Source organism: Homo sapiens, chromosome 2 (assembly GCF_000001405.40).
Source record: "Homo sapiens chromosome 2, GRCh38.p14 Primary Assembly".
Taxonomy (NCBI): Eukaryota; Metazoa; Chordata; class Mammalia; order Primates; family Hominidae; genus Homo; species Homo sapiens.
This window is the reverse complement of record NC_000002.12, coordinates 230352159-230371302: the sequence shown is the minus strand read 5'-3', so window position 1 is coordinate 230371302 and position 19144 is coordinate 230352159. Positions and strand designations below refer to the sequence as shown.

At 36.6% G+C, this 19144-nt stretch overlaps 1 protein-coding gene across 21 annotated transcripts in view; it reads right to left on the bottom strand.

Moving 5' to 3' along the window:
* Positions 1-19144, bottom strand: part of SP140L (SP140 nuclear body protein like) — a 76540-nt gene that overhangs the window by 32430 nt on the left and 24966 nt on the right. For 11 of the 21 annotated variants that reach the window (XM_047446412.1, XM_047446413.1, XM_047446415.1 and 8 more), the window contains 4 exons: positions 13336-13498; positions 12171-12339; positions 9606-9689; positions 336-446 (listed from right to left, as the gene is read on the bottom strand). In XM_047446412.1, coding sequence (XP_047302368.1) covers positions 336-446; positions 9606-9689; positions 12171-12339; positions 13336-13498 — 527 coding nt within the window. The remainder of the gene's footprint in view (positions 1-335; positions 447-9605; positions 9690-12170; positions 12340-13335; positions 13499-19144) is intronic. The other 10 variants (NR_148198.2, NM_138402.6, NM_001352892.2 and 7 more) reach the window with 1 other exon arrangement.

Sequence of the window (19144 nt, the reverse complement as noted above, 5' to 3'; positions counted from 1 at the left end):
AATGACACTATTATCTACTAGCAGAAGTTCACTGGGTTATCTTGGGTTCCATGGAATATTGAGTGTGACTTAACATATTAATGCAATAAACAGGATAACTGCCACTTTAAAGAGCAGCACCATTCTATGACGTCATCCATATGTAATCAACAGAGCCCATCTTGATAAGTAAAACTTTATAATGATCTCTTGCCTCTCTGCAGTTCCCCAAAGGCTTGGGTGAGGCAAATGCACAGAACAGGATTCTGGGCGGACTGGAGCACCTGCCTCCACTCTTCCCAGGGTCTGTGGGGCCCACTGAGCCACCCCATCCCACAGCCCTCAGGCAGCCTTACCCATTTTGCCACATGCTTGGTCACTTTCCTTCCTTGCTTCCGGGCTTTCTGGCACTTCTCCTGAGAAACACATGACATAGGAACACTTCTCATTTTCACATGCTGGTCGCTCTGCTCCCGGGGCAAAATTGTGATTTATGAACTTTTAATTTGCCCCAATAACCCTCTTTTCTGCACCCTGGTTGCTGCCCTCTTCTCTACTTTTTCCTCCGAAATCTTCTTTCACTTCTCCTCCCTATATTTGACTCTTCCTTTAAGTCTCCCTTTTTGTCCTCTTTTGTCTTTTTTTCATTATCAGAACTCTGTTTCTGTTTTTAATATTTTTAAGTCATAATTACTTGGTACATCACATCATAGCAAGCTAGAAGCAAGCTCTTCTGATTCTCCTTCTTTGGTCATTTGGTAATTTTCTAGTTCACCAGATACTAATGAGAAACAAAAAAGTTATTTTATTTTTATTTTTGTATTTTATTATCTTCCAGTTATGTCAGTGAGAAGTGTGACACAGGTCTCACTGCCTAAAGTCATTATGTTAGTAGGCCTTTATTCCTTTCTGGGGTCTGGAGAGGACAACCTATTTCCTTGTCTTTTCAGCTTCTAGAGGTCACACACATTCCTCGGGTGACCTCTAGACAGTGACCAGAGAAGAGTTCCCAGTGCTGTGATGCTGGACACTAATATTCTGAGCCAAGGTGAAGTGCTCTCTGGAAAAAAATATACCCGCTCCAATAATCACGCCTGACACATAACAGCCATGCTCTCCCCATGTTTTGCACCTCCTTCTCCTTTTCTTTACTTTTATTTTTCTACTTGTAGTCCTGAGAGTAAAATAGAAAAAATTAAAAAGCTCTTATCATTCCAGAAAATACTAATGTTCTTTGAAAACAGTAAGAAGTGGCAGGGTGCGGTGGCTCATGCCTGTAATCCCAGCACTTTGGGAGGCTGAGGTGGGCAAATCACTAAGTCAGGAATTCAAGACCAGCCTGGCCAACAGGGTGAAACTCTGTCTCTACTAAAAATACAAAAATTAGCTGGGTGTGGTGGCGTGCGCCTGTAATCCCAGCTACTTGGGAGGCTGAGGCAGGAGAATCACTTGAACCCAGGAGGCAGAGGCTGCAGTGAGTGAGCCAAGATTGTGCCACTGCACTCCAGTCTGGGTGACAGAGAGAGAGACTCAGTCTCAAAAACAAGAAAACAAACAAACAAAAAGAAAGTAGTAAGAAGTAACTGTTTCAACTTGTCCTAATTGGCCATTGATTACTTATATCACTAATCATTTCTGAGAGCTAGCCCATCAGTGGCAGTCCTACACATCTGAAGGCCAGCCAATCAGCCGCAGCCCCCTCCAGAAAGCCCGTGTTGATGGCTAAATGCTAAACTATTCATACACTCCTGTTTCTGAAAGTCTGTAGTGCCTGAACTATGTTTCCTAAAACTCTATATAAAATCAGCAGTTTCCTTATTTGTAGATACTCCAGCTGGTACACATGGTCTGAACCTCCAAGCTCACACTGAACCCAGGCTGAATCCTGAATCCCCAGGCTCCAGGCCAGCCCTTACAGATGCAGTCTTCAGCCTGCCCCAGCACTACTTCAGCCTCAGTGAACCCAGACTACTACCAGTGGCTCTGGCCTTCAGTCTCATCCCAGTACCAAGCTGCCTCTCATGCACTGGTCTTCAGGCTCACTGAAGTGCCTGAAGATGGCTGCACCAGTGGTGTAGATCCCTGCAGACTCTGGCTCAAGGCCTGCCCCAGCATAGACCTGCCCACTGATTATCCTAGGCACCTTCAGCAGCAAGCCTTTCTTTGGTCTATGCAAGATGTAATTCCTAGAATTTCTAAGTAGGGTGAAAGGCTTTCCCAGACAAAGCCAATCTACAGAGGCTGAAATAAGTCCTTACTTCCTTAAATGCACAGATATAAATGCAAGGTAATAAGAAATGTGAAAAGCCAAAGAGACATAACACCATCAAAAAGACACAATAATCTCCTCATAGCTCACCCCAAAGCAATGAAGATAACAAACTGCTTCACAAAGAATTTACAATGATTGTTTTAAGGAATCTCAGCAAACTTCAAGAATATACCAAGAAACAATTCACTGAAATCAGGAAGACAATAAATGACCAAAATGAGAAATTTAACAGAGATTGAAATTATTTTTAAAAAGAAACAGAAATTCTGGAGCTGAAAAATACAATGAATAAAATGAAAAAATGCAACAAAGAGCATCAATATCAGAATTAATCATGTAGAGGAAAGAATTTGAACTCAGACAGGTTGTCTGAAAATACAGCTAGAGAAGGAAAAAGAAAAAAGAATGAAAAGTAATAAGGAACACTTACAGGATTTATGAGACTGTGAAAAGAGCAAATGTTTGAGTTGCAGAAATTCATAGAGGAGAAGAGAAAGACAAAGGGATAGAAAGATTATTTAAAGAGATAATAGCATAAAACTTTGCAAATCTGATGAAAAACATAAATCTTCAGGTACCAGAAGGTCAAAAGATTCAATCTAAACAAGACTACACCAACATGAGCTGTCAAGATTCAAGAACTTAGAGAGGATCCTGAAAGCAGCAAGAGAACAGAAGCAAATAACATATACGGGAGTTTCAATAAAGATAGCAATGAACTTTTTTGGCAAAAACCTTACACACCAGGAAACCGTGAAATGACATATTAAAGGTGCTGAAGAAAAAAACTGCCCACCAAAATACTGTATTTGGCAAAGGTGTCCTTCAGAAATGAAGGAGAGGTAAAGACTTTCCTAGGCAAACAAAAGCTAAGAAAGTTCATTACCACTAGACCTGCTTTACAAGAAATACTAAAGGGAATTATTTAAGCTGAAAGAAGAAGATGCTAACTAATAAAATAAAAACACAAGAAAATACAAAATTCACGGTTAAAATAAGTCCACAGTCAAAATACAGTATATGCTAATACTGTAATGGTGGTGTGTAAACCACTTACATCTCTAGTATAAAAGTTAAAAGACAAAACTTAAAAATAATACCTACAATATATTTATTTTTGAGATGGAGTCTCTCTCTCTGTTGCCAGGCTGGAGTGCAGTGGTGTGATCTCAGCTCACAGCAACCTCCAGCTCCCTGGTTCAAGCGATTCTCCTGCCTCAGCCTTCCCAGTAGCTGGGGTTACAGGCACGTGCCACCATGCCCAGCTAATTTTTGTATTTTTCATAGAGATGGTGTTTTACCATGTTGGCCAGGATGGCCTCGTGATCTGCCCACCTTAACCTCCCAAAGTGCTGGGATTACAGTCATGAGCCACCGCACCCAGCCTAGCTACAATAATTTGTTAAGGAACACACAATATAAAAAGATGTAAATTGTGATATAAAAAATTTAATATGAGACTGGGTGCAGTGGCTCACATCTGTAATTTCAGCACTTTGGGAAGCTGAGGTGGGAGGATCATTGAAGCCCAGGAGTTCAAGACCACTCTGGTCAACACAGTGATACACTGTCTCTACAAATAATTTTTAAAATTAGCCATGTGTGGTGGCACGCACCTGTGGTCTCAGCTACTTGGACGGCTGAGGCAGGAGGGTAGCCTGAGCCTAGGAGATCAAGGCTACAGTGAGACATAATAATGCCCCTGCACTCCAGCCTGGGTGACAGAGTGAGACTCTGTCTCAAAAAAAAAAAAAAAGAAAAAAAAGAAAGAAAGGAAAAAAAAGAAAAGAAAAGAAAATGAGAAGTTAGAGTAAAAGTACAGTACAGAGTTTTTGTAGGCTATCAGCTTAAAACAGCCTATTATAACTATAAGATATTTTTTGTAAGCTTCATGTTAACCACAAAGCAAAAACCTATAGTATTTACACAAAAGCTAAAGAGGAGTCAAAGCATACCACTAGAGGAAATCACTTAATCACAAACGAAGGAAGAGAGAAAGAAAGGAATAAAGAATCTACAAAGCAGGCTGGGCATGGTGGCTCACGCCTGTAATCCTAGCACTTTGGGAGGCCGAGGTGGACAGATTGCCTCAGGAGTTCGAGACCAGCCTGGGTAACATGGTGAAACCCCATCTCACCTAAAATACAAAAAATTAGCCAGGCTTGGTGGCATGCGCCTGTAGTCCCAGCTACTCAGGAGGCTGAGGCAGGAGAATTACTTGAATCCGGAGACGAAGGTTGCAGTGAGCCAAGATCATGCCACTGCAATCTAGCCTGGGTGACAGAGTGAGACTCTGTCTCCAAAAATAATAATAATAATAATAATAATAATAATAATAATAGATAATAATCCACAAAACAACCAGAAAACAATGAACAAAATAGTTGTAGTAGGTACTTGCCTAGCAATAATTATATTAAGTATAAATAGTTATGTTAAGTATGGATTAAATTCTCCAATCAAAAGACAGAGTGGCTGAATGAATAATAATAAAAAAAAACTCAAGTATCTATGGCCTACAAGACACTCACTTCACTTTTAAGGATACATATAGACTGAAAATGACAAGATAGAAGTGAATATTCCACGCAAATGCAAACCAAAGAAGGAAGGAGTAGCTATACTTATATCAGATGAGATAAATTCAAATTGAATACTAAAACAAGACAAAGAAGATCATTATATAATGATGAAGCAGTCAATTTGTTAAGATGACATAATAATTGCACACTAATATATATGCACCCAACATCTGAGCAACCAAATATATATTAAATAAATATTAATAGATTTGTAGGTGAGACAGACTGTAATACAATAATAGTAAAAGACTTTCATACCCTACTTTCAGCACTGGATAGATCATTAAGACAGAAAATCCACAAAGACAAATAAAATGTAAACTATATTTTATACCAAATAGACCTAACAGCATCATAAAGAACATTCTATTCTACAGGAGTGAAATATACATTCTTCTCACTTGTACATGGAACATTCTCCAAGATAAATCATACATTAGGCTACAAACTTAAAGTCACGAAGGTTGAAATTATATCAGGTATCTTTTCTGACCACAATGATATAAAAGTAGAAATCAATAACAAGAAGAGTTTTTTAATTTTGTAAATACATGGAAATTAAACACACTCTTGAGCAGCCAATAGGCCAATGAATAAATTAAAAGGAAATTTAAAAAAATATTGAGACAAATGAAAATGGAAACACAACATAACAAAACTGATGGGATACAGCAAAAGCAGTTCAAAGAAGAGGAGTTTGTAGCAATAAACACCTACATCAAGAAAGAAGAAAGATCTCAAACAGCCTAATGTTACACCTTAGGAAACTTCAGACAAAAAAGGAAAACTAAAGCCAAGATTAGTAGAAAGAAGGAAATAATAAATATTAGATCAGAAATAAATGAGATAAAGACTAGAAAAACAATGAAAAGATAAACTAAACAGAGTTGGTTTTTGAAAAGGTAAACAAAATTGACAAACATTTAGCTAGACTAAAAAAAAAGAAAAGACTCAAATGAATAATATCAGAAATAAAAGAGAAGACGCTGTAACTCATACTACAGACATACAAAGGACCATAAGAGATTGCTATGAACAATTATACACCAAAGAATTGGATAACCTAGAAGAAATGGGTAAATTCCTAGACAGATACAACCTACCAACACAAATATAAAAACCTGAGCAGACCAATAATGAATAAGGAGATGTAATCCAGAATTGAATACCACCCATCAAACAAAAGCCCAGGACCAGATGGTTTCACTGCTGAATTCTGCCAAACATTTAAATAATAAATACTGATACTTTTCAAACTCGTCTAAAAAATTGAATAAGGGGTCTATTTGTAGGCTTAGTCTATGAAGCCAACATTACCCTGATACCAAAGTAAGGCAAGGACACTATAAGAAAAGAAAACTACAGGCCAGTATCCCTGATAAACATATATGATATCCCTGATATCCCTGATAAACATATGTGAAAAATCCTCAAAAAATACTATCAAATCAAATTCAACAGCACACTCACCATGATCAAGTAAGCTTTATCACTGGGATGCATGGATGGTTCAACACACAAATCTTAAAAGGTCATACGTTGCATTAATAGAATGAAGGACAAAAATTATATGATTATCCCAATAGATGCAGAAAAAGCATTGGACAAAATTCAACTTTTTTCATGATAAAAATTTTCAACAAAATAGTTATAGAAGAAATGTACCTCAGAACACTACCATCTACATATGACAAGCCTACAGCTAACATCATAGTCATTAGTAAAATGTTGAAAGTTTTCCCTCTAAGATCAGAAACAAGAGTAGGGTGTCCATTCTCGTCACTTCTAGTCAACACAGTACTGCAAGTCCTAGACAGAACAATTAGGCAAGAAAAAGAAATAAAAGACATCCAAAGTGGAAAGGAAGAAGTTAAATTGTTCTTAATTGTAGATGACATGATCTTATATAGAGAAAACCCTGAAGACTCTACCAAAAAACTGCTAGAACTAATAAATTTGGTAAAGTTGCAGGATACAAAATCAACATAAAAAATCTGTTGCATTTCTATACGCTAACAATGAACTATCTGAAAAAGGCATCAATAAAACAATCCAATTTACAATGAAAATACTTAAGAATAAATTTAACCAAGGAGGTGAAATATTTGTACACTGAAAACTCTAAAATGTTGATTAAAGAAATAGAAGAAGAACAAAAAATGGAAAGATACCCCATGTTCATGGATTGGATTAATTAATATTCTTAACATGTTCATACTATCCACAGTGCTCTAAAGATTCAGCGCAAATCATATAAAAGTTCCAAAGACATTTTTTTCTGAAATAGAAAAACAATTAAAAATTTGTATAAAAGCACAAGAGACCCCAACTAGCCAAAGCAATTTTAAGCAAAAAGAACAAAGCTGAAAGCATCACACTACCTGACTTCAATATATACTACAAAGCTATAATAATCAAAAGAACATGGTACTTGCATAAAATAGACACATAGACAAATGGAACAAAATAGAGAGCTTGAATCCATGCATTTTTGGTCAACTGATTTTCAACAAAGGTGCCAAGAACACGCAATGGGGAAAGGACAGTCTCTTTAATAAATGATGTTGGGACAACTGGATCTTCACGTGCAGAAGAATGAAATTAGACCCTATTTCATGCCATATTAAAAAATCAACCCAACATGGATTAAATATTTAAATTTAATACCTGAAGCTGCAAAATTACTGGAAGAAAACAGGGGAAAAGCTCCATGACATTGGTCTGAGCAATTATGTTTTTGGTATGACACCAAAAACACAATCACAAAAGCAAAAATAAAGAAGTGAGACTACATCAAACTAAAAAGTTTCTGCATGGGCAAGGAAACAATCAGCAGAGTGAAGAGACAACCTACAGAAGGGAGAAAATATTTGCAAACCATATGTCTGATAAGGGCTAATATCTAAAATATGTAAGGAACTCAACCAACTCCATACTAAAAAAAAAAACAAAAACAAATAAACAGATTATAAAGTGGGCAAAGGATTCAAACAGATATTTCTCAAAGGAACACATACAAATGACCATCAGGTATGTGAAAAAATGCCCAGCATCACAAATCATCAAGAAAATACAAATTGAAACCACAATGACTATCACCACATACAGGTTAGAATGGCTATTATCAAAAAGACTAAAGATGATAAATGGTGAGGATATGGTGAAAAGGAAACTCTTGTACACTGTTAATGGAAATGTAAATTAGTACAGCCATTATGGAAAACAGTACGGAGTTTCCTCAAAAAAAGTAAAAATAGAACTGCCATATGATCCATCAGTCCCACTGCTGAATATATATCCAAAGGATAAATCAGCACAGATGCTCCTACAGTTATGATGGGGCTACACCTCCATAAACCCAACATAAATTGAAAATCTCATAAGTCAAAAATGCACTTAATACCTCAATAAAGCCATTGTAAAGCTGAAAAATCATAAGCCCTGGATGTCTTGTCCTTATGTGCGTTTACACCACACCCTCCCACTCCACATCTGTTCACATTTTCTGGTTGGTCTTTCTATGAGGATTCTGTGTCTGAGTTGCCACCATTTCCTCCAGTCATGTTATTCTTTTTTTTTTTTCTGTATCTTTCTTTCTGCATAAATTTCCTCATTTGCGTTTTATGTTTCTGCTTTTATTATTAGGTTCCCTGGATATCACAGAGTTAAGAACAAGGCTCTGGCTTAGAATGCCTAGGGGGGTTCTTCCTTGCTCATCTGACCCTAGGCAAACTTCGTAAGTGGTTTGTCCAGATTTCAGTTTCTTATCTGCAAAATGGACAATAAGGAATACAAATCTCCATGGCAGTCAGGAGCATTAAACTCACAATTGCCATAGAATAGACGTTTAATCAAAGTGAGCTGTTAATAACATGGTTATTTTTGTTGTCCTTTATGCCTTTTTCACTCTTTCTTTAACTTCCCCTCCTTCCTTCTCTCTCTCTCTCTCAATACCTACATCCTCTCCACATCTGCACCACTTCCTCTCTGAGTCTCTCTACATGAGTGCATTTCTCTTTGAATATTCCTGCTCTTGAACAACATCCCCACATTTAAATGGGTCCCCTCTTCTGCCATCACCAATTATCTCCTGTGATATAATAAGAAATATATATTTCAGTCTTCATCCCCTGCTCCTGGCCAGAGCTCCTAAAACCCTTGAAACATCCTAAGTGATGAAAGTCAAAAGAGCACTTCCTGTTATGCATAACAACCCCATTTCAACCAAACCTGAGTTTATGTTAATAAGGTGACTTTTGGAAAGCCCTTAAGGATGGGGTACACAATTCTGCAGGGAACTGAAGAACTGGTTGGTGTGGGGAGGTTCTCCACATGTTTGGTGTCAAAAGTGTTGAGAATGTGAGAGTACAGATAAAACAGGAGCTTTTCTTCCCCTAAGGGTCTCCTCTTTGATGTTGACCATGGGCCATGGGCTGTGGTTCTTAACACTTCACAGCTTCATACTGACCTCCCACAGGGACCTTTCTAAATCACAATTACATCTAGGTAGTTAGCATCTGTAAATCTGGCCTACTGACACACTTGGCTCTGGTTCCTTCATGGTTATTGAGCCAACAATGTCTTGTTATGGCCACTTCTCCAGGACCCTGCATCTGATTAGGAGCTCATACAACCCCCTCCTTGACTTCTCCATGGTCCTTCCCTGTGTCTTCCCTGTTTCACAATTTCCCCTCAGGACCTTGGGCCCTCACCTCCCTTGTCTCCTTTTCCTCTTAGCGGATGAGAAACCGTTTTTATTCTGTCATTTTTACCTTGTTTAAGACTTAGTTTGATGTCAGGCCTCTCTTCCCTTTCTTTTCGATCACTTTCTTGGAAAGACAATTTGTCTTGGATTGCTGAAGAGTGGGAGAGAGAAGAAAGCAATTAAAGATCTGTGAGAACCAGGGACAACACCTGGAAATTGGCTTTTAGGAATTTCCAGCATTAGGCTGACTCAGAAGTCAGACTTAAACTTCTCCTATCATCTTCTGGGACAGAGAAGAGATGACCTCAACAATGAGCTTTTATGTGTCCTACACAGAAAGGGGATACTCAAGATTTAAGGATAAAGGAGTAATGGAAACATAGTGAGCTGTGTTACCCGCAAAATTGTCAGATGGCAGGGTAGGCATACATCAAGTGTTAAGGAAGAAACAGAGGGATTCCCTGGAAGGATGGTCTCAAGTCCTAGAGAGATTCCATTATAAAAGAGAAAACTGGCCAGGTGCAGTGGCTCATGCTTGTAATCGTAGAACTGTGGGATGGTGACGCAGGAGCATCTCCTGAACCTAGGATTTCGAGACCAGCCTAGACCACATAGCAAGACCTTGTGTCTGAAAAAAATTTAGCAAAATCAGCCTGATGTGGTTGTGTGCACCTGTGGTCCCAGCTACTCAGAAGGCTGAAGCGGGAGAACTGCTTGAGTCCAGGAAGTCAAGGTTGTAGTGAGCAGAGATAGCTCACTAGCCTGCCATCTAACCTGGGCAACAGAGTGAGACCCTATCTCCAAAAACATGCCTAAATAAAAACTAAAAGAGAAAACCCAAACAGCTTTAAAGATGAGGCTAGAAAACAGGAGAACGTTGGCTTAATTGGGTCAGGGAGGATGAACAGTTCCCAGATAAACATAACAGAGGACACAGGGGCAGCCTGTGTGGACTTCAGCATCTCCCTGAAGGTGGGTAGGCTGCTGTGCTGGGTGGGGCGGTGGGCAGTGCTGCCCCAGGCAGGTGACAGTGAGCCTCAGTGCAGGTCACCCAAGCATAAGGAGTGCCAGAAACTAACATGTGAGTTGTGGGCACTGGGGCTAGGAAGGGAATCCCTGCAGTCCATGCAGAGGAACAGAGCCCCTGAGAATGTGGGCAGTAAATGTAACACTATTCCCTTCATCCCCGCAGCCTGGACCATCCTGCTTACAAACATAACATTGACTCGAAATTTGTGCCCAGATATGTGATTTCCTTTTATTCACTTTCTGACTTGAATGACTTGTTACAAAAATTATTTTATTTTTAATCTAGATATTGTTAGTATTAACACAAATCAATAAGCCAAAACATATATAGCTGCCTAAACTTTTTTCCTTGTTTATAAACCTGTAGTATTTCTTTATTGCCTAGTAAATAAACTTCAAATTCCTTAGCTTTCAATTCCAGACCGTTCACCATCTTCCTCCAATTGATCTCTCTTAAGTCAGCTCCTATACTGCTTCTCACTCTGTGATTTAGCCAAATCCAGTTTGTCCTGTTTTGCAGACATGCTTTTACTCTTTCCAGTCCCCATAGCATCCACCCTCTTCAGGGCATGTCCCTGTTTTTCTTGTGATGTCTCTATCTCTTATTTGGAGAACTGGGTTGAGATCAAACTGTGAGGAGAATAAAAGTTTTCCAGGCAAGTAAAACAAAATAGAGGGCACCTTCTTTACTGTGTACCATTATAATAGTATAAATTATGCCTTCTCAGGAAAAAAGTCAAGAATCAAAACTTTAGTTTGGTATAGCACCAATACCAAACTTTAGTTTGGTATAGCACCAATACCAAACTTTAATTTGGTATAGTCCCTGTCCGAGCAATCAGTTTTGTGATTATTTGATTAATGTTTCTTTTATCCCTTGTGGGTAAAGGGTTAACAAAACTATTTATCCTTCACTAAAGGCAAACTTGACCCAGGGTTAATTTTCTTGTTCATTATTCTAGAAACCTAATAAAGGTAGCATTTTCCTGGTTTTACTGGGCAAACTCTGGGCTTAGAAATGACCCATGACTGTTTGCCTGAAACTATACATGAACTATAAATACCTGTAGGGAAAGAATAATTGTGGTCTTCCTTCAACTGATAACTCTTATAACTCAGATTGTCCCTGTGGCACCCTGAAAGCTATGACTATGGGGTTGTTACAAGAGATATTGACTCCCACAGATATGTGGTGTTATGCCAAAGTGGATCCTGCACCCACAGCTAAACTGTCACTCAAGGCAGGTAGTAGTCAATTTAGTGGACTGCTGTGTAGGTCACTGCAAAAACTCCCACTAAAGAGAAGAAACAACTGATGCTGCCCCGTTGGTGTTCTGTGTTTCTTATCTTCTAAGTAAATCTGATGCCAGTGTGGCTCTGGTTGTCCTGTGAGTCTAAGTGGCCAGTGAAGCAGACCTCCAGATGTTTGTTTTGCCATAGCCATATACCATGGGCTTCAAGAAGACTCATGACACGTCTATTTTGTTAACTACTCTATGCCCACTGCCCAACACAATGTATCGCACATGGTAGGAGCTCAAACATATGCTTATTGAAAAAAATTGGCCCCGGAAATCAAAAGGTAGATAATAAACCTAATTACCATTTTTGAAGCTTTTATAAATGTGAATTAAATCGGGGTATTCCTGCATGTTGACCTCGCTGAACAGTGCTTCCAAAACTGACAGGTTAAATGTCTTCTCCAGTTCACTGAGAACATTGTACACCACTCTTTGTACAGGGACCAGGTTTCTACAAGAATCTTCAGAATCCTTTAAAAATATTGAATGGAGAAAATACAAATACAGACTTTCAAGTTACAGAAGAGCCATAAAAACAAATTTTATGGTTACTGAATTTCAATTTCTCTTCAGAGGTATCTTCTCATGTAAAGTTTTATAATTTTTACATATTTGTATAGCCAGTAATGAAAGAAGTAAATCCCATCTCCTTAAAAATACCCACTGATGAGCCTGATTGCTTCACCCTCATTTACATTAGATGTAAAAAGGAGCAACTTTGAAGGATAAAAGTGGGCTCAAAGTTCTTTAAGAGCCTGATTGATACATTTTTGGGATAGATGTAGCAGGCAATCAATGAGTGGCTGTTTTGTTGGCTGGGCAACCCCTGCTCTTCCCCCAAGACTGATTTGGCCTGAAGGGCTCAAAGAAACTAGGTGACCATTCTCCCCTTGCTGTGAACTTGGCCACAGAGGAAGCATATTCATAGCCAGAGATGACTCGCTGTTCTGTATCTCCAACAGGGCCTATGGGTGGAATTTACTCATATTCCAAGACTCCAGAAATGCACAAAAAAAGGAAAGACAAGAAAACAAATGTGTTGGAGAAAGAATAACAAGCATCTACTTCCAAATTTGTCCTCTCTAGACACCAATTCCCTGTGGGTTTTAATGTTCTCAGATCTAGGTATTTTAAATTGATGTTAATTGAAATAAAATGCTCTGTCAATTATGATTTCAGTAAATCAATTCATTAAAATTATTTTTAAATTTTAGTTTATGTTATAGTGTATGAATTCTACAAAACATTGTACATTTATGGAGAACAGCTGTTTCCGTTCCAGTTTCTCCAGTACCATTCACCCCAACTCCAGAGGGTGCCATGGAACACCATTTCCTCAGCTGGAAGTAGGACCATCTCTGGTGACCTCTGCTTCTCCTCTCCTTTTCTACTTTACAGGAGCACTTACAGAAATACTTGTAAAATATGAAAGCATATCTGCCAGGTTGTGAAATAAACTTTACTTACTTCAAACATTTTATTTGTGATGAGTTCCCGATCGCGGAGGCCCTCAAGGAATGGAAATGTCTTTTTTATTGCATTTGATATCTCCAGCTTATGTCTTTTGAAGTGCTTGAATACAGTGTCATAGACAAGTCCCTCATCTACATCCTGGTCTTCCGTGAACAGCCTAAGGAAAAAGGACACCAAATGAAAATGGTCATCAAGATTCTGAGATGTTTGTGGAGATGGTAAGATTTTATGTATAACGGATAAGCTATGAAGAACCAACATATATAAAATAGGTGGTCCTCAGTAGAGCCCAGAATAAATGGAATTGAAGCAACAAACAAAAATGTAATAGAAGATATCATGGAGCCTATGCAAGACTAATATAGAGGGCACTGAAAAAGCCCAGTCTAAACTGAACAAAGTCATTGTAAAGATATCTTCACCTAACCATATCTGGAATATTTTTCAAAATAAAAATATTGAATTCCTACAGAATCTAGATGGAGTAAGCAGGTCATCCACAGAGAAATGAAAGTCAATGGAATATAAATAAAAATCTAACCTTGAAAATGCAGCTTAATCAACAACTGAGAGAATTTGACAAAATAAAAATAAGATGTCCTTCTCTAATCTGTAGCTGCTAGGAAGGAAATACCATCATATATCATAAAATTAATTCATAAATAATACAATGTGGTTTAATAATGATAATAATACCACATTATTGAGAATTTCATGAGAATATCAGTGATATCTCCTGGAACATCTGGTTCTGCTTTGTGTTAATATAAATCTGTCCATACTATTGCTATATACAGTTAATCATTTTAGGCATCTGAATTTCAGAAATCGCTGCCGTTTCCTTTTAAAGCAATTTTAAAGCTGAGTCTCTAATTCTAGTTCTTAGTTGATCATGTTATTGCTCTGATAATGTTTTAATCAACATCTCAGTATTCCTAAATGTTATGAAAACTTGGGAGCTCTTTTTATCCAACCAGAAGAGAATTATTGGCACTTCCCAGTACACAACATAAAGCAGGAAACAATGTCGCATTATTGTTTTGAATTCCTGTAAAAAAAAGTTTCTGGTTAAAGTTCATTAAAATGATAATAAAGGAATTAGATTTACAGTGACAAAGAGAATGGTGGAGGACAATGAGCACATAAGAGATTTCAAATAAAACCTTGAAGACAAAAAGTGGTCAGAAAAGTGCTAGTTGCAATAGTAGGTAGGGGATGCTCCTAGAGGTTAGGAAAGCAATCGTGGTGCCCTACAGAATTCGGAAGAAACAGTGGAGATTTGAAGGGAGACACACAGCTAAAAACTGATTTGTTATTTGAAAAATGAACAGAGCAATGCATATACTGCCTGTGAACCTGCATACTGAACACATGCAGCCAGGCAGCCTCTCAGGGGGCAACCATTGCTGTCATTTATTCTGTCAGATGTTAATACTGCCTGCTCTTGGATTTCATATAAATGAGCAAAACATATACATGCTTTTGTGTCTGGCTTCTTTTGCTTATCATCTATGTTGCTGTGTTGAACAGTTAGTTTGTTCATTTTTGTTGTTGAGTGGTATTCCATTGTGTGAATCTACCACAGTCTGCGTACTCATTTTTCTCTTGATGGACATTGGAGTGGATTCAGTTTGAGACTAGTATGAATAAAACTGCTGTTCTTGTGCAAGTCTTTTTGTGGCAAAATGCTTTCATTTCTCTTGGGTAAATATGTGGGAATGGAATTACTGGGTCATTGTGTAAGAGTACATTTAACCATTTTAAAACCTGCCAAACTGTTTTTGCAAAGACTACCAGTGATGGCCTTTCTAGTTTTAGCCATTCCAGTGTGTACGATGTGATAGCTAATTTTAGTTTTAATTTGTATTTCTTTAATCAGGAAATTATGTCAAGCATGTTTTCATGTGTTTACTGGCAATTTATTTATTTTTTGGTGAAGTGTCTGTTCAAATGTTTGACCCATTTATATTATAGAATTTTATTTTATTTATTGACAGGTAGGAGTCCTTTTACAGATTATGGATAGAAGTGTTTTGTCTGATTTATGTATTGTAAATATTTTCACCCAGTCTGTAGCTTCCCTTTTATTTTCTTAATTATGTCTTTTGATAGGAAAAAATCTTTAATTTTGATGAAGTCCAATTTATTATTTTTTCTTTTATAATTAATGACTTTAGTGTACTAAGAAGAATTTGCCACTCCAAGGTCACGAAAATATTCAAAAAGCAATTTACAATATGAACATGGGTTTATATCTGTACTTTCTATGCCATACCATTGATCTGTTTGTCTATCCTTATGCTGATATGATTTTGTGTTGAATACCATGGCTTAAAGAAAGTCTTGAAGTCAATTAGAAAAGATTGTCTTGGACTTTCTAGATTCTTTGATTTTCCACATATCTTTTCAAATCAATTTGTCAATTTCTATGAGAAAAGCCTTTTGGATTTTTCTTGGGTTTGATTTGAAACTATAGATAAATTTGGGGGAGCTGACAACAATATTGAGCTTGCAATCTGTTAGCATCGTTTGCTTCTCCACTTATTTAGATTAATTTTAAAAATCAAGCACATCTTTCATTAAATTTATTTCTAGTTATTTTATTCTCTCTGGTGCTACTTTAAAGGATACTGCTTTTCAAATTCCTTATTGCCATTGTAGGAGATATGATTGGTTTGAAAACTATTAACCATGTATTTATGGCATTGCTAAATTCATGTATTAGTTCTAGTAAAGTATTTATAGATTTCCTTTATATTTTAAAGAAAATAAATATGTCATCAGCAAATAAAGACGGATTCACTGTTTCTTTCCCCAAAATAACAATTATTTCCTTTTTTTGGATCTTATTTCGCTGGTCAGGAGTTTAAATACGATGTTGAAGAGAAGAAGTGAGAGACAACTTCCTTGTCTTATTTCCAATTTTAGGGAAAAAGCAACTAGCAATATCACTAAGTGTGATGTCTGTTAGACCTTTATACATATTCTTACCTCTTTCCCTTTCTTTCTCTTTCTTTCTTTTTCTTTTTCTTTTTTCTTTCTTTTTCTTTCTTCTTTCTCTTTCCTTTCTTTCTTTCTTTCTTTCTTTCTTTCTTTCTTTCTTTCTTTCTTTCCTTTCTTTCTTTCTTGTCTCTTTCTTTCTTTTTCTTTCTCTCTCTCTCTCTTCCCCCGCCCCCACCCCTTCTTTCTTTGAAGGTTTTACTCTGTTTTCCAGGCTGGAGTGCAGTAGCACAATCATAGTTCATGGCAGCCTCAAGCTCCTGGGCTCAAGTAATACCCCCCAACTCAGCTTCCTGAATAGCTAGGACTACAGATGTCACCATGCCCAGCTAATTTTTTATTTTATTTTTATATTTTGTAGAGATAGAGTCTTGCTTTGTGGCCTATGCTGGTCTTGAACTCCTGGCTTCAAGTGATCCTCCCACCTTGGCCTCCCAAAGAATTGGGATCACAGCTGTTAGCCACTGTGCTTTGCATTCCTACCTATTTCTAACTTGCTGAGAATTTTATCATGAACTACTAATTTTATCAAACGCATCTACCAAGGTAGTCATATGACTTTCCTACCTATCTATTTCTAATTTGCTGAGTTCCTATCTATTCCTAATATGCTGGGAATTTTATCATGAACAGATGTTAAATTTTATCAAATGCATTAATGAGATATTCATATGATTTTCCTTCTTTATTTTTTAATTGGTGAATCACATTGATTGATTTCCAAAGTCTTCTCTTATGTAGAAACAAATAACCACAGATCAATAGACATTTGAGGAAATACTTCAATATTAGAAAGAAAGACTAGTGTAAGGAAAAAGAGGAAAAAGTTACCCCAGGAGAAACAGAAATATTATGGGAAATGGGGGGAAATTCCAAATGGTAACTATTTGAATTAAAGCTTCAAATTATATCAACAAACTTAAAATTTTGAGCAGGGTTGGTGAAGAAAAACTGAGTTAAGGAATTTGTTTCAAGTATGAAAATGATATGGTGGAACAATATGGTTTCAGATTCAACTGTAACAATTACAGAAATACAGATTAAACAATGAATTTGAAAAGTTGAAGGTAACTACTGATTGAGTGAAATCAGATCTTATAAAACCTATGAAACTCTGAAAATAAAAATAAAGAGCAAACATAGTTTGCATTTTTAGAGAAATAAAACAAGAAAAACAATGAATTATAAAAGGTAAAACAGAAAAAAGGTTGAAAAATTATAACACTGAATATACATGAAGAAATGATCCTGAAAGGTAATATTAGTGATATCGAAGGTATCGTCAATATTGATGATATTGATACTAATTGGAATCAAAGATAGAATCCAACTAAAGATGCAGTGACACAAAATATATTGAAATCAAAAATAGGCAATTTATGGTATGCAACTTTAAATAAAACAAAAAGCAGAACATTTCCCATTAATGTCAATTCAAAATTCAAGAAACAAATAATAGGACAAATGTTTTATGGGCATTGCAAAACAATTCACCCTTAGTTTTTTTACTCTTTCCATATACCAAAAATGGACAAAATATACAGGTTCTAGATAAATTAATAAGAATGATTTATTATTTAATCTTGTGACTTAAAAACAGAGAACACATTATCAATATTTAGCATAATCTTGGCCACGAAAGAAGTCTCAAAAAGTTACAATCAATAGAAATGAAACATATTGCATAAGGAAAATAAATTTCTTAAGATTTTAGAAAGCAAAACAAAACACACTGTGTTGGGTTAAAGATAAAATAAAACTTGTAGTTACAGGCTATTTAGAAATAGAAAGAAAGAGAAAGGTAATGGCAATGAGATTGAATAAGAGAAAAAATAGTTCAACATTATAAAATCTCTCTGTAATTTTACATTGATAAATAAAAGGAGAAGTATTTAAATATATTCACAAATGATTTTAAAAGGGAATTTGATAAGTCCTAACAGCTATTTTTAAAATAAAAACTCTATATGAAATAAAACTAACATAACATGAACTCTCTAAAATCAGCAAATGTTATGATAAACATGAATGGTGAAGTCATTTAAATAGAAAACAATATAGGAATGTCTACTATTACCACCATTATACATATATACACACATATATGTGTGTGTGTGCATGTGTGTATACAAATATATATATATATATACACACATACACATATGCATATTTTGGAAGCTTTAGCTAATGCGATAGGCTATGAAAATGAAGCAATTAGTATAAATACTAAAATAAGGTACAGTAATACATGTTGTATAATTATATACATAGAAAAACTAGAGAGAGACCTAATAAAATTCATGAGAAGTAGAAAACTAATTTGCCAAATGATATGGTTTGGCTCTGTGTCCCTACCCAAATCTCATGGCAAATTGTAATCCCCATGTGTTGGAAAGGGACCTGGTGGGAGGTGATTGGATCATGCGGGTGGATTCCCCCATACTGTTCTCATGATAGTGAGTTCTCATGAGATCTGATTATTTAAAAGTGTAACATTTCTTTCTTTGCTGTCTCTCACTCCCTCTCTCTTGCTCTGATTTGTGAAGAGGTGCCTGCTTCCCTTCACCCTCTACCATAATTGTTAAGTTTCCTGAGACCTCCTAGTCATGATTCCTGTTAAGGTTGTGGAACTGTGAGTCAATTAAACTTCTTTTCTTTTTAAATTACCCTGTCTCATGTAGTTCTTTGTAGCAGTATGAGAATGAACTAATACACCAAGGAGTATGAATAAAAAATAGACATATAAAACTTACTAGTTCTTATTTGGAAAGACATAAGTTAAAAAAAATACTCAGACTAAATA